Source organism: Homo sapiens, chromosome 16 (genome assembly GCF_000001405.40).
Source record: "Homo sapiens chromosome 16, GRCh38.p14 Primary Assembly".
NCBI lineage: Eukaryota > Metazoa > Chordata > Mammalia > Primates > Hominidae > Homo > Homo sapiens.
Genome location: NC_000016.10, coordinates 70,723,282 through 70,749,989, shown reverse-complemented (window position 1 = coordinate 70,749,989; position 26,708 = coordinate 70,723,282). Strand labels below are relative to the sequence as shown.

Sequence of the window (26,708 nt, the reverse complement as noted above, 5' to 3'; positions counted from 1 at the left end):
AAGCCAGGTGCAGCTGGAAGAGCAGCTCCCCACAGTCTCTGTTGCTGGGACCCAGGCCCCCTGTTGAGGTTGCCTCCCAGGGCCTTCCTCTCACCAGGGCCTCTCTTCCACCCCAGGCAGAGGCAGAGTCCTGGCCAAGGTGTGCATCGAGATTGGTGCTCCAGAGCCTCAAGGTCACCCCCTGGGCTGAGTCAGGTTTGCTAGCAACTGGGAGCGAAGCAGCAGCCGGACTGGAGGGGCACAGAAGCCGGGTATCAGCCGGCTCCCCACACCCCAGGCCCCACCTCAAGCCATTCCTTGCCCTCCATCTTGGTGGCCCCTTCTCCTCACCTCTAGGAGACTGAGGGAAGATGGGGATGGGGATGCTGTTTCGGGGTCCTGCTTTATTTAAAGTGCTGGAGGGGTGCTGTGTGTGTGTGTCTGTGCGCACAAGCGCACACAGTGTTGTCTCAGGCAGGGCTGTGGGCTTTTTGCCAGCCTCTGGGGACCAGAGACAAATCCTATGATATGTAAGCACAAGAGGAGTGGCTGGGATTACTGAACGAACCTGTAGACAACATTTCCGGCTTTAATTGTGCAATTGAAGTGTAATTTGCATTCATTTGCCATTTGGTGTTAAACTTTCTAAAATAAGAGAATTGAAAATGTAAAATATGCAGCTTTGCTGGCTGTGCTCTGCAGTGGGGTGGGAGGCAGTAGTACTGAGGTGGGCTAAGCACATTCTCTGCAGGGGAGAAAGCGGGGTTGGAAGCCCTTGGTGTGGGCACTGCTGTCCATGCTCAGTCACTAAGCCTGGGCCAGGGAACAGCTCAGCTGTGGGACCAGAAATCTTGGAATGGAAGTGGTGAGCCAGCCTTTCTTGTGTGCCCGCTTTTCGTGCTTTGCACATCAAGTATCTCTTGTAATCTTCACAACAGCCTGGCAAGGTCAAATCTCCATTGCGCATATAGGGAAACTGAGGCTCCCATCCTCTGCAAAATGAAGTTCAGACTTCTTTGTGTCATGAGCTCTTTTTTGGTTTATGGTTTTGTTTTTTTGTTTTGTTTTGTTTTTGAGACAGAGTCTCACTCTATTGCCCAGACCGGAGTGAAGTAGTGCGATCTCAGCTCACTACAGCCTCTGCTCAAGCAATTCTCCTGCCTCAGCCTCCCGAGTAGCTAGGATTACAGATTCGCAGCACCATACCAACTAATTTTTGTATTTTTAGGAGAGAGGGGGTTTCACCATGTTGGCCAGGCTGGTCTTGAATTCCTGACGTCAGGTGATCTGCCTGCCTCGGTCTCCCAAAGTGCTGGGATTACAGGCGTGAGCCACCGCACCTGGCCTTGTGTCATGAGCTCTTGAAGATCTGGCCCTGCCTACCACTTTGGCCTGATTTCTGGCCATACCCTCACCTCTGGCCCCATTCCCCACTCTGGAGCTGGCCCCAAAGCCTAGTTTCCTGGAATGTGCCACGTGGTTCTGCGTCCATGAATGGCTTATGCTAGGTAAGAGAATACTTTGAATGCCATTCTCTCCCTTCTTACTCCCTTGGCCAACTCATGCTCAACTACTTCCAGAGCCTCCTGGCTCCCCCCCAGGCATCATCACTGGGTCCCTGGCACCCGCCCTGTATTATCAGTAAATGCTCACCACCTGACTCCTCCGGGAGTCCATGACCTCACTGAAGGCAGAGCCTGACCTGTCTGGCCTTGTGTCTCTTATACCCAGCACAGGACTAGCCCACAGCAGCTGCTCAGCAGCTGTCTGGAGAGGGAGCATTGTGTGGTTGAAGTTAACTGGTCCAGGGTCAGGATTGGATGTCAGGACTGTCTGACCACAGCACCCTGTGTAGTGTTATCAGCAGGCTCAGGTTTGGGGACCAGAGCTGGGTTTGAGGTGGACTCGCTGTTACCTTGAGCAGGTGACTGTCCAAGTCTCAGTTCCCTTGTGTGTATCCTGTGAGGTGAGACTGGTGACAAGTGAGGGCATTCATTGTGGCCGGGAGCGAGGACAGCCTGCTCCTCTGGCCCTGGAGCCACTCGAAGGGTGGAGACAACCTTGCACAGGCCAGGCCTCTCGGTGGCTTTTTCCAGGCCTCTGTTCTGACAGGGAAGTAGGTACCTGCCGGATACCCAGCATGAATCAGTTTGTCCCCATGGCACAGGGATCTTGCCGAGTGCTGGCCTGGCCCCAGCCGCCCCGCTGGATCACACTTTCTCCTCACTTTCCTCCCCTGCTGCACGTGGCCACCAGTGTTGGCCGCCCAGAGGTGTGTGCCTCTGTCCCCCTGTGCAGACAGACCTGGGTGGGATGGGCAGCATGGGGGCGAGGGGGCAAAGTGATGTAAAGAGACACAGATCTCCTCACCGTGCTCCTCCTCTCCCCTGGATCAGGCGAGAGACACCAGGGAGTGGGTGAGACCCCACCACCTCGGGCTGTGGGCAGAGCAAGAGCAAATGGGTTAGGAATTAGGTTGCTGATTTAGGGTTTTGCCCCCCCCGCCCTTTTTTTGTACAATTCACATACCATAAAATTCATAAAAACGACTCTATTGTATACTTTAAAAGTATACCATAGAGTAACTTTTAGTATTTTTCGCAAGATTATACAACCATCAGTACTAATTCCAGAACATTTTCATGACCCCAGAAAGAAGCCCTGTATGTACCCTGCACCCGTTAGGAGTCACTCCCCATGCCTCCCTCCCCACGCCCCTGGCGACCACAAATCCACCCTCTGTCTCTGTGGATTTGCCTGTTAATGGAGTCATCATACAGGATGTGGACTTTGTGGCTGGCTTCTCGGCAGGTGTTTTCAAGGTTCATCCACGTGTAGCAGGTACTTCATTTCTTTTTATTACCAAATAATATTCCCTGGTGTGGATGTGCCACGTTCCATTTCTCCTTGTCTCCACTGCAGGGCCTTTGGGTTATTTCCATTTTGTAGCTATTAGGAAAAATGCCGCTGTGAGCATTTATATATAAGTTTGATGTGCACAGACGTTTGCAGTTCTCTTGGTAACTGCCTAGGAGTGGGAGTATACCTATGGCAGCTCTCTGGGTAACTGTTTGAGGAGCTGTTGGCTTGACTCTTGCCTCACTGTTTAATTTTGGATGAGTCATTCCCCCATCCTCCCCCCACCTCCATTTCCTGGTCTCAAGTCCCCTCCCTGGCCGTGCTTGGACAGTCCAGCAAGCATTGGTGTGCATGGCCTTTGTACATCCTGCCGTGGCAGGTGTGCAGGGGCTGAATCGGGCAGGACCGCGGCGTCATTCATTGCTGTGCCACTTCCCCATCCTGCCCTCCGCCCTGTGTCTTTCTTCTGTGGCTGAAGCAAAGAATCCCTGGAGGCTCTGTCCTCAGTGGAAGCAGAGGCCTCGGCCCTCCCTACTTCTAGGCTGAGACCCACCCAGGGCTCCCCGGCTCCTGGCCTGGGTGGAGGGGCACCCCTTGCTCCTGCCATATGACTGGGCTGTGTGGCAGCCATGTGTCTCAGCCACGTGGATTCATCAGCTCTCCACTCTGTGTGCCAGGCCACGGGCAGGGGTGGCTGTGACTCACCTTTACAGCCCCAGAACCCAACGCAGCCGCTGGCACAGAGCAGGGTCCCAGGGGCCCACAGACATCCCAGTCTCCATGAGTGGGAGAGGGATGAAGGGAAGGACAGAATTGGACAGTAGGAGGGGAGTCTGTGAGAGTGAGTCTGTGTGAGCGAGTGCCAGCTCCTGCCTGGATGAGGCTGGGAGATTGCGTGCCAACACGTGACACTGTTTGAAGACTGAGGGGGCGGGAATGGGTGAGCAAGCAAAGGGGTTCCCGGCCAGGGCTGGCCTAGAGGAACCAGGAGGAGAAGTGACAATTGGGCAGTGTGGGGGAGGCACTGGCACTGTGTTTGCATTGACAGGAATGGCTTTTGAGGGGGTAGGCCTTATCTTTTTTGTTTGTTTTCTAGATAAAATTTGCCCTTTTGAAGCATAGAATTCACTGGCTTTTAATATACTCACAAGCTTTTTGCAACCATTACCCCCATCTAATTCCACAACATTTTAATCCCTCAGTAGGAGCCCTACAGTGCTAACCTTATCTTGTATTCCCATATTCCAGCCACCTGGCCGGTCCTGGCCCACATGGCCCTGCCCATCAGGCTCTGTCCCACTTTCCCTGGTCCAGGGCTGAAGCCCCGGTTGCCGTCGTTATTCTTGGCCTGGGCTCAGAGTAGCCCAGGAAGAGGCACAGGCAACCACCCAGTCAACTGATGTTTGTTGGGCATCTGCTGGGCGCAGGGACAGTCCTGGAGATACACCTTTTGGGGGGACAGGCATAGTCCCTAGCCCAGAGCAAGAGAGGAGTGAGGGGCAGAAAGAGCAGGCGACCACCTGCAGTGTGAGGAGTTCCCTGCAGGATAAACACAGCCAGCAGAAGGTGGCCAGGAAGCCTCAGCAGCCCCTGGGGCAGGTGCATGCACACAGGCACACGCGCGCACACGCGCACACACACACACACACACACACACACACACACACACTGAAGCCCCTCCCAACAGGGCAGGTCCGTGGCCCCTCTCCCTATTGCCCATTGCAGCAGAGTGGTAGGCTGGACTTTGCCGCCCTGCCAGCTCTTGGTGCCAGGCAAAGATGGGTGCTGTGCGAGGAGAGGCAGCTTCTAAGGATACGGGGGCTGTAGAGCAGCCCTGGGGACATTGTGACACAGTGCTGACCTGCGCTCACACTCAGCACTGGTCCCACGCCCCACTCTGCCTCTGTCTCGGAAGAACTCAGCAGGCAGGTGGTCAGGCTGGGGCCTCACCCCACCCACATCTGTGCAGGGACACTTTAGAGCCACCGAGGACCACCTGACATGTCTGGACATTAGGAAGTCCTTTACCTTGGAGACCAGAGTAGCACGCCAAATGTGGAGGACGCTTTAGGGTCTGCAGTGGCCTGGTGTCACCTCTGCAGAAGCAGCTGTTCTGTGGCCCAATGGTGGGTGGGGCCGTGGCTACCGCACACAATAGAACATGGTCTGGAGGGCACTTTGGGAGCCTTGCGCAGCCTGCGGGCCTTGAAGTGCACACTGTGCAGATAACGCCCTGCTTCCTGAGTCCTGGGACTCCTGGGGACCCTCAGAGCCCTGTTCAAGGGACCCGAGAGAGGGATCGTGGGGAAGCTGACTCTCCGAACCTCAGATTCCAGTTTCCTTCCTCCAGAGGCCCCATTCACTGTAGTCTGTGTTCCCTTCATTCTGGATACTTTGTTTCACTTTTCTGAGCATGCCCCAGCTGTGGCCTTAGTGGCTCTTCCCAGCCTGCTGTCATCTGCAGACCCCTCCCACCCCTGCAGGTGGCTGTGTGCCACCAACCGCACCTCTGCCCAGGTCAGCACAGCTCTCAGCGGAGAGCTCATCCCTCCTGCCCCGCTTCTCTCCCCAGGTGATCCTGAAGGACCTGGAGGTGCTGGCAGAAATCGCTTCCTCCCCCGCAGGCCAGACGGATGACCCAGGCCCCCTCGATGGCCCTGACCTCCAGGCCAGCCACTCAGAGCTCCAGGTGCCCACCCCTGGCAGAGCCGGCCTACTGAACACCTCTGGTAAGTCTTCTCCTGAAGGTTCTAGCCTCAGGGGCCTTAGTGCCAGTGCCGGGTCTTAGGCTGGACCATGGCGGTCCTTTGGGTTGTTGCTCAGGAGCTCTGGAGCTCTGCCAGGGTGTGAGGGGTCTGTGGGTTGCTACTGGCGATCTCCCACCTCAAGACCGCCCAGAGGCAGGCAGCCCTAGTCCTCTAGCAGCCTCCAGAGACCCTCACAGGACTTTCTCTGCATCTCCCTGCACCTTTGATGCTTTTGAGCCATTGGCTAAACATAAAACCATCTGGGTCGGCTGCTGGTCTCTCTGCCTAGGCAGCATCTCTCCAGTCTGGAATCCAGGGGCTTCGGTCTTGGGGTCTAACAGGTGGAAGACTAGGTGGCCATTCCCTTCCTCTCTGAGAAGCTAAAAATAGCACTGCACGTGGCAGGCAGCCCAGGCAGGAGACGGCATCATTCACACAGGCTGTTTCTGGGCAGTCCTTGGAAGTAAAGGTGGCCGTAGCACCCCCAGCACTCGCCCCTCGGTCCCTTCCAGATGGCAGGCCAGCTCTTCTCCCTAGGCCTCGGCAGACGCCACTTCCCTCTGGCAATGCAGTCCTGGAAAATGCCTGAGGACACGTTTGGTAGTAAAGTTCCCAGTGAATCTCAGGTGTCTCCATGGGGGTCTCTGTCCATTGCGCCCCTCTGGACATCCACACAGGGCTCCTAGTTGGCCCATGCTTTTGTGTCCGGAATTTATTCCTTCTGGTGGGTTCTTGGTTTCGCTGACTTCAAGAGTGAAGCCACGGACCTTCACAGTGATTGTTACAGCTCTTAAAGATGGTGTGTCCGGAGTTTGGTTCTTCAGATGTTCAGATGTGTCCGGAGTTTCTTCCTTCCGGTGGGTTCGTGGTCTTGCTGACTTCAAGAATGAAGCCACGGACCTTTGCGGCAAGTGTTACAGCTGTTAAAGTGGTGCGGACTCAAAGAGTGAGCAGCAGCAAGATTTATTGTGAAGAACAAAAGAACAAAGCTTCCACAGCGTGGAAGGGGACCCGAGAGGGTTGCCACTGCTGGCTCGGGTGGCCAGCTTTTATTCCCTTTTTTGGTCCCGCTCACGTCCTGCTGATTGGTCCATTTTGCAGAGTGCTGATTAGTCCATTTTACAGAGTACTGATTGGTACGTTTACAATCCTTTAGCTAGACGCAGAGTGCTGATTGGTGCATTTTTATAGAGTGCTGATTGGTGCGTTTACAATCCTTTAGACACACAGTGCTGATTGGTGCGTTTTTACAGAGTGCTGATTGGTGTGTTTACAATCCTTTAGCTAGACACAGAGTCCTGATTGGTGCGTTTTTACAGAGTGCTGATTGGTGCGTTTACAATCCTTTAGACACACAGTGCTGATTGGTGCGTTTTTACAGAGTGCTGATTGGTGCATTTACAGTCCTTTAGCTAGTGTTTTTACAGAGTGCTGATTGGTGCATTTAGCTAGACACAGAGCACTGATTGGTGTGTTTACAATCCTCTAGCTAGACAGAAAAGTTCTCCAAGTCCCCACTAGACCGAGGAAGTCCAGCTGCCTTCACCTCTCACTTTGATGCAGCCTCACGTGTCATAAAGGTTTAGGGGCCTTACAGCCTCAGCCTCCCGCCACAGCCCAGCCGGGCTGGTCCCAGCCTGAGAGTACTTCCTTGGCCTCAGTGGGAGGCGCCCCAGCCCTTTTTGGCCCTAAGACCAGGCCCAGTGCCTGAGAAGTTCAAGGGGCAGCCGGAGACCTGCAGGGCTGCCTGTGCCCCAGGACATGCCAGGTGAAGTCATAGAAGGCCCATGTGGGGCCTTGCCCAGGAGCCCAGTTCTAGGCAGTCAGTGGCCGTGGTCGGGGAAGTGGTTCCCACATCCTGACCCTGGGACCCCTGCTGGGACTCCCACCCTCTGTCCCTCGGCAAACGAGTCCATTCTCCGTCCTGTGTCCCCAAGTCAGTACATGGGGGCCAACCTTAAGTCCTTGGGACAGATGGCAGGAATGCCAGAGGTGGAGTGTGGGGGCCCAGCAAAGGGGGTAGGAAAGGAAGAGAGAAAAGGATATCTCTTCCTTAGGAAGGGAGGGTCGGGTGGGGAGGAGCAGCAAGAACTGACCGGAAGACGGGCAGCAGCCAAGAGGAGGCATCCTGCAGGGAGGAGGCCTGGGCAAAGGGTCCCTGGGGGTGCACCCTCGGCTCTCCCTCCCCAGGAAGCAGGCGCCACAGCCTCTTCTCTCCTCCTCAAAGTGGCAGCAGCAGAGAACTTGAAGGCAGCACAGCCTTGTGACAGGGCCAGGACACCCAGGCCTCCCAGGCCCTCTGTGACCTGTCTTCCCTATGTTTTATCTCTTCCTCCCGGGCACAGAGAAGCTGATGACTGTGATTTAGGCTCCTGCTCATGGAAGGAGGACCAGGAGACTGCCGAGGGCAGCCTGGGCCGGAGGGAGTAGGACGTGTGCCATGGGGGAGCAGAACCTGACCCGGGGGTCCCTGGTGGGCCCTGCAGCATCAAGCCCTTTGCGCTGCTTGGGCGGCAGGGCCAGGGGCACTATATGGCAGGGCACCCTGAACCCCAGCTCCTGGCCGTGCCAAGATAGGCAGGCCATGAACGAGGCTATGGCAGTAGAGACTCTTGCCCCAACTCACCGAGGCTGTCAGATTAGCTCACATCAGCCAGGGACTCCCTCGGAATTCATAGAAGAACGACAAAGCATGCCAGATGGGAAGAAACTCCATCCTGGAAAGAACACCAAGGAAGTGCCTGCAGCCAGTCACACTTCTTGCTTCAAGAATCCACAGCCAAGGAGCAGTGGGGGCTGCGGAAGGAGAATCCACAACTCTCTGGGCCAGGAGCTCTTAACCTGAGACTCACGTGTGGGCCTCAAGGCTCCAAGCAGATCCATGTGTGTGCACATGCGCGTGTCCACAGCTGGCATCAGATTTTACAAATGGGGCCATGATTTTAAAAGGTCAGCTTAAACCAGTAAGAGAACAGCCAGGGGAGCCAGAGTGTGCCCTGCTTCCCCGCCCCCCCACCTCCGCTGCCCCGGGAGGGCACGTGCCAGGCACTGAGGATGTGTGGGGTGGTGCTGAGGTCAGAAGGCATGCAGGAAGTGCACATTCATCCCTCCGCAAGCTGCTCCTTCCCAGACTGCTTCTCAGGCATGCAAGGGGCTCTTTCTGTCTGTTTCCATCTGGCCATGCACATGGACAAGGCTGTGAAGCCATACCCTCTTCCTGTTTGGATTCTGCCTGCCTCTGGCTCTCCAGGGCGCAGCCCTGAGAACTTGGAGAACTTGGAGGCAGCAGTGCTGTGTCCCTGTAGGGGAGATTGCCCCGAAGGCACAAAGGGACTGTCTGGAAAGCCTCGGAGGCAGGGAGCCTAGCAAAGGTGAAGTCGGTGGCATCTGTAGGGAACCACATGGTGCGGATCACACGCAGCAGTGGAGAAGCGAGTCCATCACATGCCTGGGTAGCTGCCGTGTTGGCCTAATGCACCACAGCCATGGTTCCCAGGGCCCCCCGAGGCAGAGTCGCCCACATGGGATTTTCCTCTCGCCTGGCCTTGCATAAACATCTCTCCCTCCCTCGCAGAGCGGTGAAGGCAGAGGCTTCTCCCACCCTGCCTCCCTCATTCCTCACCTGTGCAGAGCCGCAGAATCGGGGAGAGAGTGGCCTGGGGGCAAACAGGATGGGGAGCAGCCTGGGCGGGCAGCTGTGAGGGAAGCTGGCTGAGGGACACCACACTTTCCTGTCTCCCACCCCTGGGATCTCCTGTGTCTCCTCCTTTTGTATTTCCTGTCTCCACTCAGGGGAGTCTGCGGAGGTCCTGCTGGCTCTGGGGACAGGGATGTCAGACAGGCCTGTGGGCCCGCCGTACCCTGAGCCTGTGCAAAAAACTTCAAAGGACAGAGGAGGCCTCTGGGATGAGCCCTTTGTCAGAGACATGCCTTTCCTCCCGGGGCCTGGACATCTATGCTGCCAGAGAGGGTGCAGCCAGGCCTGGGGAGACCCAATCAGCCTTTAGGATCCTTAGCCATGCACAGTAATGTGTCAGTCTGAGGCCAAAGGTCACCCTAGGACTGACGTTTGCCCCTAAAACCCAGTCTTCCCTGACTTTGCCTGCCACGGGGCCCAATGCTGCTGGGATAAAACTGTTCATGTCGTAAGCCACGTTGGCTCACTCCTATAGTCCCAGCACTTTGGGAGGCTGAGGCAGATGGATCACCTGAGGTCAGGAGTTTGAGACCAGCCTGGCCAGCATGGTGAAACCCTGTCTCTACTGAAAATACAAAATTTAGCTGGGCGTAGTGGTGCGTGCCTGTAATCCCAGCTACTCGGCAGGCTGAGGCAGGAGAATCGCTTGAACCCAGCAGGTGGAGGTTGCAGAGAGCCGAGATCACACCACTGCACACTAGCCTGGGCAACAGAGCGAGACTACATCTCAAAAAAAATAAAACAAAAAAACTGTTCATGTCAGTATACCTTGCGGGGCTCAGTGGTCCAAGGTGTTTTTATCCCTGGCTCTAAAAATGGGTGATAATGACCTGTTCTTATTTGGTTTCATTCCTTGTAGCCCAGGACAGTGTATTGTAGCCAAATGTCAGCAGCATCTTCATGTCACCAGACAGAAACAAGTTCTAGCAGAAAGCCAGAAAGCCATTTTCCCCAGTAATCACGGCAACAATCATCATGGCTGCCAGCACTGGCTGAGGTCACGTTAGGCCCTGCCCTGCTCTGAGCACTCACGCGTGCTGGCTTTTTGGGTGAGCCCCTGGGGTCCTCACAGCAGCTCTGAGAGGCCAGCACTGTGTCATTCCCCACTTGTTTGGGCCAGGAGCCTGGCCCGAGAGCCCACACTCCTCACCCCACTCAGGAATCCCACCTGCGCCAGCACTGGAAGCTTCCACAGCCAGAGGGGAGGAGGAGAGGGGCCAGGCCATGGGCACAACCTGGCAGTGATGGGGGCATCTCTCCTCTCTTCACAGTGACTTCAGAGACCCCTTCCTGGCCTCAGGCCACGGCAATGCCTCATTTCTTGTCATTTGCTGCCCGCCACCACTTCCTCCAGCCACACCAGCCCCAGGAAAGCACCTGTTTCTCTTGAAGCCCCTTCCTCCCACTCACCCCTCCCAGCCTCAGGAAGCAGCAGTAGGGATCACGAGCACTGGGGTCAGAGGGATCTAGATTCACAGCCCTGCTTTGCCCATCCATCCCGTGACCTCGGACAAGGGTCCTACCTCACTGCTACTTCTTCCCTCTCTATAAACCAGGTGCTGGGGTGCCTGGGGGCTCTGTGAGCTCCCACATGGCAAGGGCTAGGCTAAATGCTCCCTGCATGTGAAGGGGGCCTTTGCTTGTGTCCTAGTTATTACAGGCCGGTGCAGAGGGCCCCTGTGGGAGGCTTCCCTGGAGATCCCAGCTTCTCCTGCCCCTCTGTTCCAACACACTTGCTTATCTCAGGCTGCCTGGGTGGGTGGTGAAGTTCACATCTGTTCCCTCCTGGCTGTGACCTCTTAGACCCCCAGCTGGAAGTGCATGCGGAGGCTCCTCAGCGTCGCCCAGTGCTGGGTGATTTGTGTCATCAGCTCAGTTTGAATAGCGTCATGGCAGGCCACACAGGCCAAGTTTACTTACCCCGGAATCCCTGGCACCAGGTGCCCAGTAAGGGTCAGTACCTATTTTTGAAAGTTTATTAAAATAATGGAAGGCAGGGGCACCAATCACCTGAGCCTGAGGCCCCCGGCACTGCTGCCCAGAATGGCATCCTCTCATACCCGTGCTGCCAGGCCCTCCCTTGTCCAGTTGGAAGCCCCAGCAGTCCAGCCCCCCTGCTCCACCAGCAGGGGGTGCCTTCCTCCACACCCTCTCCTCGCTGCCTTTGGCCCCAGCCCTCACCCTGCAGCAATAGCTCTTTCCCGGTGGCAGACTGCTATATGACCTCTCCACTGCCGCGTCAGCTGGAAGTCCCCACTGGGCCCTGCTGCATCCCATCGGCTTCTCTCTCGCTCTGACCTGAGCAGCTGCAAAGTCTCCTGGCTATGATTGATGCCTCCGGCGCTCCTGTCCTGCCGACCCAGGCCGGCCCACAGATGAGAAAGTGATTGCCCCTTGAGTGGGTTCCCGAGTTGGTGCCATTGCGGCGGCCTTTGTCTACGTAGCTGTGCACCCCCTCCAGTTCTGCAGACTCTACACCCCCAAGACCCTGCTCAGCCTCCCTTTCTCCCAGCCACTTGATTCTTGGGGGAAACTGCCCCTTCCCCACCCTGTCCTCTTGGTTCCATACCAGCCTCTCCATCACCCACCCCTTCTGTGGACCACTTCCTGTGCCAAGCACGACTTGATGCTCTTTAGCCCTGCCTGGTTCACAGAAGAGGAGCTGGCCTCGGAGAAGGTGGTGCTGCCTCCCCTGAGCGGCCTCTGGCCCTTCCCTTGTATCCTCCAGGCAGCAGATCTTGAGCCCACAACGGGCTGTCCGGGCACATGGACCCCAACCCCAGCAGGGAGGGAGGCCGGAGTGGAGCAGGGACCCTGCTGGGCCTGAACTGGGTGGCTGACGTTTTCACATCTGGTTCTGTTGAACTGTAACTCGCGTTATGTACTGAAGCCAGGGTTATTTTTATCCTGACATGTGAGGTTTCTTCACGTCATAACCACAAAACTCAATCCAAAACATCCCGGGGCAGGTTGTTTGTGAGACGTTCTGTGGATTCTCATGTCACCACATCAGGTTTCACTTAGTAACATCTGCAGGGCTGGCTCCCCGGCCGCCCACCCCGCCAGCCTGGGTTTCTGTGTGGAGTGCGTCTCTGTGCCCCTGGCCAGCCGCCGGTCACGTGCACTTCCTGCCAGGGGCTGGCAGGCTCCTCACTTGCCCAAACCAGAAATACAAGGCACAGTGGCCTTCAGCTGAGGGATGGCACTCTCCCTCATGCTCCTGCCCTCTGCAGGATTGGGGAATGGAAATCCCACTCTCCTGGGCCCCTCAAAGAGAGCCTGTCTCCCGAGACACACAGCCGGGTTGTGGGCCCCCCTCTCCCTCGCCCCCTGCTGCAGCAGCTGCCCACCATCTACAGGGGGCTGTGCCTCAGTGGCACCCCTGAGTAAAACCGCTGAGGTCCTCGGAGCGCAGTGTTGGAGGGCGTGCCCTGAGCTGCCCCGTCCCGGCTCCCACTTTCCTCATGCGCCTGCAGCACCCAGCCCAGGACCCTGCTTACAAGAGCAGATGAGCCAGAGCCGGAGGTGGGCGGAAGAGCAGGCAGCAGTGAGGCGGAAATCAGCATACTTGAGGGGCCCATTTCTCCTGTAGTCACCCTCCCGGGGTGAGCTTGTTCTCTCTCCACCCATCTCCTCCTCCTGAGCCTGCAGCCCTGCCTCAGAGAGCATCTCAAGCCAAAGGGCAGCTCAGATCAACAGAGTGGCTGGGGGCGATGGGGGCCACTGAGGCTGGGAAAGAGCGAGCAGCCCCCACCCTGTCCTGCTGAGCACTGAGGCCTTTCCCATCCCTGTCCAGCCCGCCCTCCCTGCCCCTTCAAGTGTGGCCCCTTTCCCCACCTCCCCTGCTGGGAAAAGACTGCCCTGCTCAAACCTGTGGTCTCAATGCAGCCCCTCCCAAGGCTCCCAACCCTGTCTTGGGGAGGGCAGAAAGTCTTTAAGCCTTGGGAGCACTGTGAGGGCTGAGCTGCACTCAGCTGAGGATGTGAATCGCTTGCTGCGGCTTCTCGCAGCTGTGACACTGCCCTCCTCCTCCCTTCCACTAAGGGCCTCAGCTCCAGGGTCCAAGGGGCAGCCTGGACATTGAGAGTCCATTTTGGGTCCACACTAGGGGCTGTGGCTAAGGAGTTCAGAGTTGTGTCCAGAGCAGCCCAGCCCTTCTCTTCTGCCATCTTTAGCCAGACTGTCAGCGGAGAGATGGGCTGATCTCCCTCCCCAGATGTGTGGGGGTCACAGGTGGCCCCCCTTCTTCCTCAGAGCATCCTGATAGAGCACTGTGAATTTGTGCCAGAAATGAAATCTCCCCACTCAGACATTTCAGACCAGCCCCCAGACATCCATTCTGAGACTCAGAATGAGAACGGTCTGCCCTGCGCAGTGCTCTGCGCTATGGGACGCTTGCTAATAAAAAGGAGCCCCCGTGTACTGAGTGCAGACTGTGCGGCAGGCTCCGGACCCGGCACATTACATGTTTTTATCTCATTTAATAGGGGCTCTTACTGCACTCACTTTACAGATGAGGAAACTGAGGCTTAAACACCATGCTCAGTGCTTCCTACTGCCCCTGTGAGGCTGGAACGGCCCCGCACCTCTCCCCACTCCAAACAAGCACCTGGGAGAAGCTTGCAGTGAACAGGGTGCCTCCAGTGTGGGCAGCATGAAGCCAGTGCCCTCCAGCCAGGCCACCACGGCCTACCAAATTCATCTCCTGAGGGAGGGAACAGTGAGGCAGGGCTGTCTCAACAGCTGTCTCTGCAGCCACCTCTTTAGAGATCAGCCCCCAGCTGGGCCTGGGGTAACTCGATCTATAAGAATGTGACACTTGATTCTGCAAACAGCCCCTTTGGGCCAGGGAGCAGAGACTCTTTGCCATTCCAGAGTCACTCAGGACCTCCCAAGCCAGGCTGATTCAGGCAGGGACCCAGCACAATGCAGTCCAAACAAGAAGTGGAATGAGGCCTTTCCTTGAACTGGCCTTCTCACTCAGGGCTCCTTCATGCCGCTCACGCGAGCTGTCTAGGAGGTTCTTGGGATTGAGGATGCTACAGTTTGGAGGTGTGGCTCTTGGTAAGGAATCCCTTATAGAGTGATTCACAGCTGGGAAAAACAGCACAGAAAAACGCCTTTTCTAGACCCAGCCATCTCCCCGGCAGGACCATGAGAGGACATACAGGAAGTCTGAGCTCAGCAAGAAAGACGGAGCTCCTGGGAGGAGAGTCTTGCTGCTGCTTCCTGCCCGCTGGCATCAAATACAGTCAGTCTGTCCAGACGCCTCCGTGAGATTCACTTGGAATACTCTGGATGGTTCTGCACATTCTTGTTTTGTGCTTTGGGCTGATGCTTCTGGGAACATCTGATGCTTCTGGCCAAGTTTGGTTCCCAGATCCTCCACATCCTGCCTATCTTGTGCTTGTGCCTGGCCATTTCCTCACTGGTCCAGGGAGAAAGTGATGGCTCCCACGCAACTTCTGGACCAGAAAGGGGCCAGCCTGGAAAATGATGGTCCCAGATGCCTCTGTTGGCCGCTCTGCATCCCCCAGTGTCCTCCCTGGGTTTCCAGAGAGCTGCGGCCAGGTGCTGGCTCCATAGCTCTTCACAGCGTCATTTCCTGCATCCTCAGTCTCAGCTTGGCAGGACCTGGGTTTCCGTCTTTATGCCATCTTCTGCCCTCCTGCATAGCAAGGCACCACCTCCTAATCTGTGAGCCCCAAACATGTCCGAACATTAGTGCCGAAGAGACAGGCAGCCTGGCAGAGCTGCAAAGGACATGGGCTCTGAAGACCAGCTGCCTGGGTCAGCAACTCTAGCACTCGCCAGCTATGTGACTTTGGATAATCCTTACCCAAATTCACAGCTCCTCTGTGTATATAATGGGAATGGTAATGGTGCATATTTTTCAAGTGTTTTTTTTTTTTGTTTCTTTGTTGGTTGGTTTTTAGGGTGTTAGATACTATGTGTGAAGGGTTTAGGCAGGTCAAGCACATAGTAGGTGCTCAATAAATGGTAGCTATGAATTGGCTATTAAGATATCATGTTATACTGGAACAATTAGATATCCATATGCAAAAGGATTTAGACCCTTTCCTCACACTGTATATAAAAAGTAACTCAAAATAGACCAGAGACCTAAAATACATCAGCAAATCTTTATGACCTTAGATTAGGTAATTTCATAGCTATGACACCAAAGGCACAAGCAACCAAAGAAAAAATAGACACATTGGGCTTAATCAGAGTTAAAAATTTTGTGCTTCAAAAAAATTTTTTTAATAAAAAGAGGCTGGGCACAGTGGCTAATACCTATAATCCCAACACTTTGGGAGGCCAAGGCAGAAGGGTCCCTTGGGCCCAGGAGTTTGAGACTAGCCTGGGCAACATAGGGAGACCCCATCTCAAAGAAAAAATTTAGCTGGGTGTGATGGCACAAGCCTGTAGTCCTAGCTACTTGAGAGGCTGAGGCGGGAGGATTGCTCGAGCCCAGGAGTTTGAGGCTGCAGTGAACTGTAATCACTTCAGTGCACTACAGCCTGGGCAACAGAGCAAGACACTGTTTATTAGGCTGTTCTTGCATTACTATAAAAAAATACATGGCTGGGCGCAGTGGCTCACACTTGTAATCCCAGCACTTTGGGAGGCCAAGGCAGGCAGATCACGAGATCAGGAGATTGAGACCATCCTGGCTAACATGGTGAAACCCCACCTCTACTAAAAATAGAAAAAATTAGTCAGGTCTGGTGGCACACGCCTGTAGTCCCAGCTACTTGGGAGGCTGATGCAGGAGAATTGCTTGAACCCGGGCGGAGGTTGCAGTGAGCCAAGACCGTGCCATTGTACTCAAGCCTGGGAGACAAAGCAAGACTCTGTCTCAAAAACAAAAACAAAAACAAAAAGACCTGATTGAGAGTAGGTAATTTATAAAGAGATTTAATTGGCTTACAGTTCTGCAGGCTTTATAGAAAGCATGGTGTTAGCATCTGCTTGGTTCCTGAGGCGGCCTCAGGAAGTTTACAATCATAGTGGAAGGCAAAGGGGCAGCAGGCAGAGGAGGCCAAAGCAGGAGCAAGAGAGTAAGAGGAAGGTGCCCCACGCTTTTAAACAGCCAGATCTCAGCAGAACTTGCTGTCTCAAAGTAACACTAAGGGGATGGTGCTAACCCATTCATGAGAAATCCACCCCCATCATCCAGTAACCTCCCACCAGGCCCCACTTCCAACACTAGCAATTAAATTTCAACATGAGATTTGGGTGGGGACAAATAATCAAACTATAGTATCACCCTGTCTCAAAAAAAAAAAATCAACAGAATGGGAGAAAATACCAGCTGATGAATGGACAAACAAAATATAGAATAGCCGTATTCCATATTTTGGAATATAAAGTGGAATATTATTCAACCCTAAAAATGAGTACAGAACTGATACATACTACAACATAGATGAACCTTGAAAACGTGCTGAGTGAAAAAAGCCACCTACTGCTTAGTTCTATTTATAGGAAACATCCAGAATAGGCAAATCCATAGAGACGGAAGGTAGATGAGTGATCGCTAGGGGCCATGGAAGTGAGAATGGTGAATGACTGCTAATCAGTATGGGGTTCCTTTTGGGAGTTGATAAAAATGTTCTGAAATTAGTGGTGATGGCTGCACAACTTTGTGAATGTCCTGAAAACTACTGAATTGCACACTTTAAAAGGATTAACCTTATGGTATATGGATGATATCTCAATAAAGCTGTTTTCTTTTTAAAGATGTCCTGCCTTGGGCCGGGTGTGGTGGCTCACACCTGTAATCCCAGCACTTTGGGAGGCCAAGGCAGGTGGATCACCTGAGGTCAGGAGTTCGAGACCAGCTTGGCCAACATGGTGAAACCCCACCTCTACTAAAAAAAAAAATTACAAAAATTAACTGGGCGTGGTGGCGCATGCCTGTAATCTCAGCACTCAAGAGGCTGGGACAAGAGGATAGCTTGAATCCAGGAGGCAGAGGTTGCAGTGAGCCAAGATCACACCACTGCACTCCAGCCTGGGCAACAAACCAAGACTCAGTCTTTAAAAAAAAAAAAAAAAATTCCTGCCTCAGGCACAGTGAGTGAGGATCTCTTCCATCCCTTGGTAACTCCTTTCACAGAGCTGTGGAGGTTGGCATATATTAGAAGGGATGTCCAGGGAAGATACCAACGGGCATACAGATACGCTACCCCAGACCATCCAAGTATTCCATCAGCCTTTCCCTTGTCCCCTTGGTGCTGGGTACTTTACCAAGGGGCGTGTGTGCAAGGGAGGTCTGGAAGGGATGGTGGTATCTGTACCTCGGTGTGTTTTCTAGCTGGGACACGCGTCAGAGACATTTGTGCTCCTGGTTAGAAAGTCACCTCAGGCTTTGAAAGTTTTCAGAGTTCTATCCTAAAAGAGCATCTTTGCCTGAGGATGAGGAAGAAAGAACTTTTGATTTCAAAAGTAAAGTTTAAAACACTTTGTAACATTTGTCGGTGTCTGCTGTCCGTAATCGAGTGGCTGTGCGCATCATTCCTTTTCCTCAGGTCAGATTAGGAAAGGAGCTTGGCTTTTGCCTCTTGTGGGTCCATCAGTTTTGTTGACCATTGAGCCACAATGACTTGACTCACTGACACAAGTACCTTACCCATTTATTCTCTTTGACTTCTTGTTTGTCCTTAATGGCCCAAATAGATCTTGAGTGTATTTCGTTTACTGGGATAATGAGTAGAGTTTGTTTTTTTAAAAAAATCATGGCACCTAGCAGGGTCTTATACACATGAGATGTTCACTAAGTGGTTTAGGCTTGGATGAAAGGGTGGACAGTAATGGGATTTTTTTTTTTCAAGTTACGAGTAGGACTTTAACTAGTGGGCATTTTTGCAGTAAGCCAAGTTGTATTTGCTTGTGCAGACTTGCCTTTTTCTCTGTTGCTCCATGGCTCTTGATTAGAGATTTTCCCTCATCTTGTTATAACACCCCCCACACACATCTTTTTGGCATTTATAGTTGTTTATATTCTGTGTGGATCTCATCACCCTGTGGACACATAATCAGAATAAATGCTGGCTCTATCCCTTTCTCTACAGGTACCAAAGGCTTAGAATGTTCTCCTTCAACTCCCACCATGAATTCTTACTTTTATAAGTTCATGATCAACCTTCTCAAGAGATTCAGCAGCGAACGGAAGCTCCTGGAGGTCAGAGGCCCTTTCATCATCAGGTCAGCCTTGGCGGCGCGCTTTCTCCTCTTCCTCCCACGGCCCCGGCTTTTCACTTTCACGCCATTCAAGTGTCAAAGCAGCCACCTTCTCTTTCCCTTCTCTCTCCTCCTTTTCCTGACCTTTGGATCTGTAAGAAATGAAGAAGGTTGCCCCTTCATACTGGTTGCTGATGCTTCTGACATGAAACAGACAGGTCAGTGTTGATGTTTTTCCGCACAACTGAATTCATTTTTTGCTTCCTGAGTTACTATCTTCCCCTGAGGTGGAACAGCCTCTTATTCAATGCCATTGTCAGGCTTTTGGAGAGGAAAGGAGGTGAGCCAGATGGCGTGGGACATGGGGCTGTGCTCCAGGCCCAGCCCCCAGTGCGGGATTTAGCCAGGCTTGGTGGAGCCAGGCTCCTGAGTCATGTGAGCCCAGCCCAGGATGGTGCCAGGGCACCAGCCCCAGAGGCTGGAGGCATCTAGAACTGTCATCACCAGCAGCATGGCTGGGGCTGGTCTTTTGCCTCCAACTCAGCTCCAAGAAGTAGCAGAAGAGTGGCCCAGTGTCACCCTCAACCTGGTGAAAGCTAGAGCAGGGCACAAATTCCTCCAGCTTCTACACCAAAGCCAGGTGGAGGAGATTTCTAGAGTAGTCCGTATGGCCCTAGGTGCTGTCCAGCCGTGGTTCTCAGCCCTGCAGGTTAGATCACTGGAGAGGCTTTAAAAAAAGATGCCGTATACAAAATTAGCCAGGTGTGGTGGTACATGCCTGTAATCCCAGCTACTCAAGAGGCTGAGACACACAAATCGCCTGAACCCGGGAGGTGGACGTTGCAGTGAGCCGAGATCACACCACTGCACTCCAGCCTGGGCGAAAGAGCAAGACTCTGTCTCCAAAAAAAAAAAAAAAAAAAAGCCTGGGCCTCCCTCTGATGAGTGAAATCGGAACCCCTGGGGTGATGGGGTTATTAAAGTGGTCTGGGGTGCTTGGGGACTGAGTAGACTACCGACTACCATGGTCTGGGGGTCAGGAGTTGAAGGAGTCCCGGCAGGGGCCTAGGCTGTATGGGGCTTCAAGGCAAGAAGGAGCCTGGGGAGCTCATCTTGCTGTAAACTAATAAGCAGCTTCAGCCTGTGGGCCACAGTGAGGATCAGAGACCTTACTCAGGGGTCAGCACGGAGGCACTGACAGGGCTTGAGCAGGGGATCAACGTGACTGGATTTCTGGCTTGAAAGACAACTGTTGCTGGGGCGAATGGGTTGGAGGGGCTGAGGTGGAGCCAGCTGGGAGGCTGTTGTCCAAGCAGAGACTGTGGCAGCTTGTGAGGGGGATGGGAAGCTGCAGCCGGATTCGAGAATGAGGATTCGAGACTGAGTAGGAAGTAGATTTGTCTGGTGACTGATGTGGAGAGAGTGAGGGGAGAGGGAGCTGGGAGTGTCAGGGTGTCCAGGCCTCTGGTTTGGGCAGCGGGTGGATGGTGATGCCAGTCCCCGAGGTGGGAGCCCCGGAAGAGTGGCAGGGAGTGAGGAGGGGGTGCATGTTTGAGTTTGAATTACTTTGGGGGCATCAAAAAGAAGGTATTGAAGAAGTAGTTTGCTGTACCAGGCTCTCCAAGGGGGTACCGAGGCCCAAGATACAATCTCGAAATTGATGGCATAGTCATTCATTCATTCATTCATTCAACAGATGTTTACTGAACACTAACTCTGTGCAAGGGACCATTCTAGATGGTTCTGCACTTGTGGAGCTTTCATTCTTAGGGAGTTCTTAAGAAGAGGTCGAGTGAGAGGGAAGGGGTCTGAGGCTGAACCCTACGTGTTCCAGACTGTAATGGTTGGGGAAAGAAGGAGAAGCCAGAAAAGGAGGCTATGACGAAGGGCCAGAGAGGTAAAGGAAGCGGCCAAGCAGGGAGATGGCAGGAGGCAGTGAGGGAGGTGAGACCCGGGGATGGTCTGCTGCGAGCCGCTGCAGGAGCCTGAATGCTGCTGGGGGAGTTGAGGGAGTGGAGCGTACAGGAGGTGACCGGCCAGCTCAGGAGCTGAGGTGGAGTTGAGGGCACCCTGGGGATGGGGCCGCAGAATTGAGTTGTGGGAGAGGACAGGCCTGCCTGACCAGAAAGACAAAGAGCAGGACCACAGTGGGGGACAGGGCTTCTGATGGTCTGGCCACCAAAAGGATGCCCCTGTGATAGTGGGGAGGCTGTCACCACCCTCTTGCTTCTCTGGGCTCTTCTAGAGCAGGGCTTCTCGAACTCAGCGCCGTTGGCATTGGAGCCGGATAGCTCTTCGGGATGGCAGCTGTCCTGCGCCCTGTAGGATGTCAGCAGCATCCCAGGCCTCTGCCCCCTGAATGCCAGTAGCACTTGCATTCACCCAGTTGGGACCGTCTGAAATGTCTCTAAACATTGCCAGAGGTCCCCTAGGGAGGAGAATCACCCCAGTTGAGAACCACCGTGTCAGAGAGACAGAAATGGATTCTTAACCTTCATTGGCCAAAAGAGGAAGATTTCCATGGTGTTTCTTCCCATCACGTTGGCCAGTTTCAGGTAGGGAATTGAGGTAGAGGTTAGCTATGGTGCAAGAGGCCCCCCCACCAGGAAAGCAGCGGAATGTTCCCACAAGAGTGACAGTTAACATCATGTGGTTTTCCAAATTGCAGAGGCATCAGTACTCATGATGAGCTCTCCTTGCCTGGACGACTTTCAGGGAGTCAGTGGAAGGAGAGGCCTTTGGAGGAGGAATCTATAGCTAGAGTCCCCTCTGGAGAACTGGGCTGAGGTGGGTTTTCCACCCTGTCTCAGCCCCACATGACCAAGACGCATGGCGAGAAGGAGTTTGGGGTAGTAACCAGCATCTCCAGGCTGCATGGAGCAGAAGTGCAGGCCCCATGGGCATGCTTGCATGCCCTCCCCACCCGCTCAGGGCCTGAGGCTCTGTGAAGCTGGAGGCCAGCCCACTGCCATGTTCCCAGGTGCAGACTCCAGGCCAGGGAGGCTTTGCTTGCTTTGCAGTGCATCTCCTGGGCTTCCTGGGCTCACGGGAATCGTCATTTTGCAGAAGGGAAAATAAGAGGAAGTAACGTGCCCACTGGGCTGGGCAGGAGCTGGGCTGCAAACTCCTGCACTCTGCTAATTCAGCAGCCGCCACTTTGTCCCTTCTGTGTGGGAGTGCAGAGCCTGGTGCCGTGAGAGGCCCTGAACATCCTGCGTGCCAGGACCACCTGAGGCCCAGCTCCTCAGCGTGCTCAGGAGCTGGGCCAGTGGGTCCTCCCTTCCCACCCTCCAGGGGCTCAGTATGGCGATCGCTTGCTCTTCTGGGGCTCAAACCTGCCATGGGCCACACTGGGTTCTCAGTGGAAATTGAGGCTGGCCTCCAGGCCTCACTCCCACCCGCACAGCCACAGAAGGTCTCTTAGCCATTGGCATCCCCACTAGAAGCCCAGTGGGCTGGGACAGAAGGAACCTTGTGGCTGGGCCTTTCACAGAGGACTGGGTCTCTCCTAGTCCTTCACCCGGTTTCTCCAGACTGCTGTCCCCCAAAAGCAGCACCCACACCTGTCAATGTGCATCCTGGCGGACAGCCACCTGGCCCAGCTGGTTCGGGAACCTGCTGCCCACTCTGCCAGCACACCAAGCCATTGTCAACCAGCTCCAGGGTTGCAGGCCCAGCCACCCAGTCTGGGGGCACACACAGCATCTGACATGGAAAAGGCCCTGCAAACATGTGGCTTCCTCCATCCTCCCCATGCTCCTGTGGGGGGCTGAGGCCGTTCCAAAGAGCTTTGTTGAGGTGGAGGGGGGTATCCACCTGCCCTCCTGCTTCTCCATTGCACTTCCTTTTCTCCTGCGATGACTTTAAAGAGGGGCATCGTTGGCTGGGTGCAGTGGCTCATGCCTGTAATCCCAGCACTTTGGGAGGCCGAGGTGTGCGGATCACGAGGTCAGGAGTTCAAGACCAGCCTGGCCAACATAGCGAAACCCCGTTTCTACTAAAAATATAAAAATTAGCCAGGCATGGTGGCACATGCCTATAATCCCAGCTACTCGGTAGACTGAGGCAGGAGGATCGCTTGAACCCAGGAGGCGGAGGTTGCAGTGAGCCAAGATCACACCACTGCACTCCAGCCTGCGCGACAGAGCAAGACTTCGTCTCAAAAAAATAAATAAAAATAAATAAATAAATAAAGAGAGGCATCGCGATGGTTCCGCAGATGCTGGCATGAAGCCACAGGCCTGATGAGGAGCACAATGATTTCTTAACCCCCTCTTTAGCTGTTAGGCAAACTCTAAATTGTTCTTCTCAGCCTCCAAGATTGCACACTGAGAAAGAAAGGAAAGAGATTCTTCTGGCCAGCAAGTGAAAAGCTGTTCTTTTGGCAGGAGTGTGTTTAGCTCTGGGACCTGGAGCGGCTGCTATAGAAAGACAGAGGCATCGGGAGTTCTTGAAGACACACATCTGGTGGGGGTTCTTGGCATTGAGGAAGATGCATGATTTCCCTAAAGACCCTGGGAGCGTTTCCTCTTCCCCAGGCAGCTTTCCCAGGCCGCACCTCCATGTCGGAGTCAGTGGGGGTGAGAACGGGGTACCCAAGCTCCAGCCAGGCTTGAGTGGGTTGGACTTCCTGTCGGTGTCCACACAGCCTCCTTTTCTGGTGGACATAACGGTTGAGATGCATGTCAAGGTGAAGCCAGTGGCTTTAAAACCTTCATTTTTTAGCCAGCTACTCTGGCTCCAGGCCCTTTCCTTAGCAGCAGGGAGTTGAGGCCAAGCTCACAGATAGAGCGAAGATGGCGACATGTGCGGTGGGGTGCTGTACCCCCACTCCCTCCACGGGACTTTGCAGGACTAAGGCAGATGAGCCTCCCGAGGCACTCATTTGGGGCTCAAACCCCAATTCCTCCCATTTTTAACTGTGTGACCTGTTTCCAAGGCCTTTCTGCTTTGTCTGTGACGCAGCGATGATAGTGCCTGCCGTGTCATAGTGTGGTGGGGTTATATAAATGGCGCATGTCTCAGCCCCAGTGCTGGCTGTGTCTGATAAAGCGGGGCTGTTGTTCAGCCTCCCCACAGGGCTTGTGCTTCCCAGGGTGGTCTGTGGAGGGGGAACCACACCCCTGAGGGGATGAAATCATGGCACCTTCCGTGCCGAGAGCTGGCTCCAGTGCACCGGCCCTGTTGCCCCAGTGCCCAGGGCACCCACCAGCGGCCCGGCCCGGCTCCGCTAAAACAACTCTGCCCGGAGTAGGTGTTGGTGTGCGTTGCCTTCCCCCGGCCTCTTCCCACCCTCCATGCTAATGCAGGCAGAACAAGCCCAGGCCTTGTCTCCCCGTGAACCATCCACTTATCCTCAGTAGAAAGGAGAGGAGGGAGAAAACCCAGCCTCTTTGATAAACTGTGATATGAACTCCAGCGTGACCCGACAGCTGTGATCTTTACAAGGCCTGCTTCTGTGCTGGGAAGCGAGCAAGTCTGAAGACAGTCGCTCTGCCTGCCAACACGGCCCTCCGGCCAGCCGCGCTTTGGCTTCAGCGACTGTGCATTTTTCCCCTCCTCTTCCTCCCTGCCGCCTTGCAGAGAGGACTGGTGGAGAATGCTTGCATCTGTAATGAGCCACTGTATGCGGTGAATGCCAGGGCCTGATCCGAACCGGCCCAGTTAATGGTAGATGAGGTCCGAGCCACCTCCCAGGAGAACAGGGCACTCCTAAGATGAGGCGGGCATTTGGAGAGGATGGGGCCCACAAGGGAAAGGAGGAAGCAGTCATGGGACTTCTTTCACGAGATCCTGACCCAGAGAAGCCCAGCAGCAAGGCTTCCGGTTCATTCTGGGCCTCCTCTCACCTCTGCTACAGACAGGCGTGGCAGCCTGTCCAGCTGAGCAAATGCTCAGTCCCTAATATGTGCCTCTGCTACTGCCCCTCCCCAGTGTCCTGGGTTTGCATAAGAGCCCTTGTGTTGGGAAGAGGGGGAATAGGTGGAGTGGGGAGCTGATTGGTCACTGAGGGGGTGGGGGGCCGGGCAGCCGCTAGAAACTGGACTTGTTTTTAATTGTGGGGCCTGGGGGAAGGGCCTGAGAAGAAACTCTCTTTCATGCCGTAATTGGGAAATTCCACTTTGCTGGCCTCGTGCATTCTGCCCTGTGGACAGGGCCCTTGGCTGGGGCCAAATCACCAAGGTGTCCAAGGCCACCGGCCGTCTGCACCACTGGCGCCCCTCCCAAGCCCAGCTCCCACATCAGGCTCTGTCATCCCCTGCAGCTGCCGAATCTCGAGTCCATTTGGCATCGGGACCCCCTCCTCACTCTGTGAGTCTTTGTGCGGTGCCCCCTCACCTGCCTGGAGGCATTGGCCGGGCCCCCAGAAGCCCATTGTGCTGGTGCTAATGGATGGCGAATTAGAGTGAAGTGGCCAGACCAGATCCCTGTTTGCCTCTGGCCCCAGCTCACAAGCTAGAGCTTCTAGGCGGCCCCACTCTTCCTCTCACCCTTTTAATGGATTGCGTTCATTTGTTCAGGATAAAAATAAATTGCTGTGGCAAATGTGCACCAACCTAAGTCTGTTTGCTAGAAGAGGCCCCGATCCACCTACCCAGAATGCAGATGGGTTTTGATCTTTCATAAGTCCGTAGCCGTATCGATTGGGCCCCCAGCTGAGGGGAGGGAGACAGGACATTGAACAGGCAGGAGGAATTCTTCCACAGAGCTTCCTGCTTCCCTCTCAGCAGAAGCTTCTCTTCTTGCTGGCTTGAGTTGTCTGTCCAGCTCCTTGTGTGAATCTTCTGGAGCTTTCCACAGCCGTTCCCCGCCCAGGGGCCAGGGCTGAAGTGTTTTTGTCGCCATGCAAGGGACGCAGAGGAGTGTGTGCAGCAGGAGCCGCTTTACACAACCGGCTCCCGGCTTCTCATCTCCTAATTAGAGACCCCTTCGCAATGGGAATGGCAGGGGGACCCAGGAGGCCCAAGAGGCCCAGTCTGACACACAGAAAAGACTGTTGGGAGAAAAAGAGTGCTGCCTTCCCAGGTGAAAAGATGACCTTGTGAGGTGCAAAGTTCAGGGAGCCCAGAGAGCCTGGCCCAGCCTGCATTCCATTGTTCCCTAGTCCATGGCAAAATGACCAGCGTCCTTGCACCTCACAGAACCATCGGAGGTTGTTCCCTGTTGACCCAGAAGTGGCTGGAGATGGAGTGGGGGGTGGTCCTGGCCTTGCTCTGCCTCCTCCAAGCAGTCCCCACAGTGTCATACACACTGGCACTCCCTGTAACAAGGGATGGCTTTTCTCCTGCAAAATGGATACCACATGTGGCAGGCCTTGCTAGACCAGGCTGGGATGAATTAGGTCTGACCTGGGGTATGAGGGGAGTAGAGGAAATGCTGGCCAGAGGGAGCCCTGCACAGTGTGCCTAGGGGGCCCAAGAGCCTCAAAGGGGTGGCATCTTGGTGTTTGCGGGGTCCACTGGGCTTTGAGCAGGGCTGGTGGGAGGAGACTAGAGGTCACAGGTGAACTTGGCAAGAGGTGGCCATGTGTCCTTCAGGGTGACCCCTGTCCCCACAGCCCAAGCAGCCATGCTCCCACTGAATCAGCGGTCACCCCCACTTCCAGGAGCCCCTGTGATGGAGGGGAGGACCTGGCAGCAGATTGGTGGGAAAGCTCCCCTCCTCGGTGGCCACCACATGGCACACGTGGTCAGACCCCTCATCAGGTTCACGCTGGCCCCTTGCCAGTCTTTCACTAAAAGCACGTTCTTTGTTGTCTGCACACCTGAGAAGCATCACCTCCCCCAGCCCCATAGCTCAGGCAACCAGCAGGGCTGGTAGGGTGATGGTCAGGAACAGTTTTCAGGGGCTGAGAACTTGATAATGGATTTCTTTCTGAAGCTTGAGAAGTTGTTTCTAGATGGGACCTGCAGTATTCTCTGGATCTCACTATTTAGACTTCACCTAAGGATGCCAGGAAACTTGGAAAGATTTGACATTGGTCACTCCAGCAGCTTCATTAATTAACAAGTAGCTAATGTGTACCATAATGTGGTATCATTTATTTATTTTTTGAGACAGGGTCTCACTCAGTCACCCAGGCTATGAAGGGTGACTGGGCTTCATAGCCAGTCACTGGGCTATGTGGAGTGCAGTGGCACAATCACGGCTCACCTCGCTGTGACCTCCTGCCTCAGCCTCTCAAGTAGCTGGGACTATAGGCACACACCACCATGCCTATTATTTTTTATTTTGGA

General features: G+C 54.5%; 1 protein-coding gene across 5 annotated transcripts in view, besides 9 other annotated features; it reads left to right on the top strand.

The window, feature by feature from the left end:
- The window catches only part of VAC14 (VAC14 component of PIKFYVE complex), a 113,720-nt gene that overhangs the window by 51,169 nt on the left and 35,843 nt on the right, over positions 1 to 26,708 (top strand). For 4 of the 5 annotated variants that reach the window (NM_001351157.2, NM_018052.5, XM_005256038.5 and 1 more), the window contains 2 exons: positions 5,411 to 5,567; positions 18,363 to 18,495. In NM_001351157.2, the coding sequence (NP_001338086.1) occupies positions 5,411 to 5,567; positions 18,363 to 18,495 (290 nt within the window). Of the gene's footprint in view, positions 1 to 5,410; positions 5,568 to 18,362; positions 18,496 to 18,630; positions 25,028 to 26,708 lie in introns of those variants that run through there. The other variant, XM_047434360.1, reaches the window with a different exon arrangement.
- Positions 2,043 to 2,677: an enhancer, noted in NCBI's record as "H3K27ac-H3K4me1 hESC enhancer chr16:70781216-70781850 (GRCh37/hg19 assembly coordinates)". NCBI's record gives its function as "activates a minimal SCP1, AML or CMV promoter by ChIP-STARR-seq in primed H9 embryonic stem cells {active_cell/tissue: H9 hESC(primed)}" and the evidence as "EXISTENCE:reporter gene assay evidence [ECO:0000049][PMID:30033119]".
- Positions 2,922 to 3,422: an enhancer, noted in NCBI's record as "H3K4me1 hESC enhancer chr16:70780471-70780971 (GRCh37/hg19 assembly coordinates)". NCBI's record gives its function as "activates a minimal SCP1, AML or CMV promoter by ChIP-STARR-seq in primed H9 embryonic stem cells {active_cell/tissue: H9 hESC(primed)}" and the evidence as "EXISTENCE:reporter gene assay evidence [ECO:0000049][PMID:30033119]".
- Positions 3,423 to 3,923: an enhancer, noted in NCBI's record as "H3K4me1 hESC enhancer chr16:70779970-70780470 (GRCh37/hg19 assembly coordinates)". NCBI's record gives its function as "activates a minimal SCP1, AML or CMV promoter by ChIP-STARR-seq in primed H9 embryonic stem cells {active_cell/tissue: H9 hESC(primed)}" and the evidence as "EXISTENCE:reporter gene assay evidence [ECO:0000049][PMID:30033119]".
- Positions 8,876 to 9,683: an enhancer, noted in NCBI's record as "H3K4me1 hESC enhancer chr16:70774210-70775017 (GRCh37/hg19 assembly coordinates)". NCBI's record gives its function as "activates a minimal SCP1, AML or CMV promoter by ChIP-STARR-seq in naive and primed H9 embryonic stem cells {active_cell/tissue: H9 hESC(naive and primed)}" and the evidence as "EXISTENCE:reporter gene assay evidence [ECO:0000049][PMID:30033119]".
- Positions 11,436 to 11,605: an enhancer, noted in NCBI's record as "active region_11069". NCBI's record gives its function as "activates an Ori minimal core promoter by ATAC-STARR-seq in GM12878 lymphoblastoid cells {active_cell/tissue: GM12878}" and the evidence as "EXISTENCE:reporter gene assay evidence [ECO:0000049][PMID:35858748]".
- Positions 11,436 to 12,037: a biological region, named in NCBI's record as "H3K4me1 hESC enhancer GRCh37_chr16:70771856-70772386".
- Positions 11,507 to 12,037: an enhancer, noted in NCBI's record as "H3K4me1 hESC enhancer chr16:70771856-70772386 (GRCh37/hg19 assembly coordinates)". NCBI's record gives its function as "activates a minimal SCP1, AML or CMV promoter by ChIP-STARR-seq in naive H9 embryonic stem cells {active_cell/tissue: H9 hESC(naive)}" and the evidence as "EXISTENCE:reporter gene assay evidence [ECO:0000049][PMID:30033119]".
- Positions 12,010 to 12,169: an enhancer, noted in NCBI's record as "active region_11068". NCBI's record gives its function as "activates an Ori minimal core promoter by ATAC-STARR-seq in GM12878 lymphoblastoid cells {active_cell/tissue: GM12878}" and the evidence as "EXISTENCE:reporter gene assay evidence [ECO:0000049][PMID:35858748]".
- Positions 23,330 to 23,624: an enhancer, noted in NCBI's record as "tiled region #12359; HepG2 Activating non-DNase unmatched - State 2:TssF, and K562 Activating DNase matched - State 5:Enh". NCBI's record gives its function as "activates a minimal TATA promoter and a strong SV40 promoter by Sharpr-MPRA in HepG2 and K562 cells {active_cell/tissue: HepG2 | K562}" and the evidence as "EXISTENCE:reporter gene assay evidence [ECO:0000049][PMID:27701403]".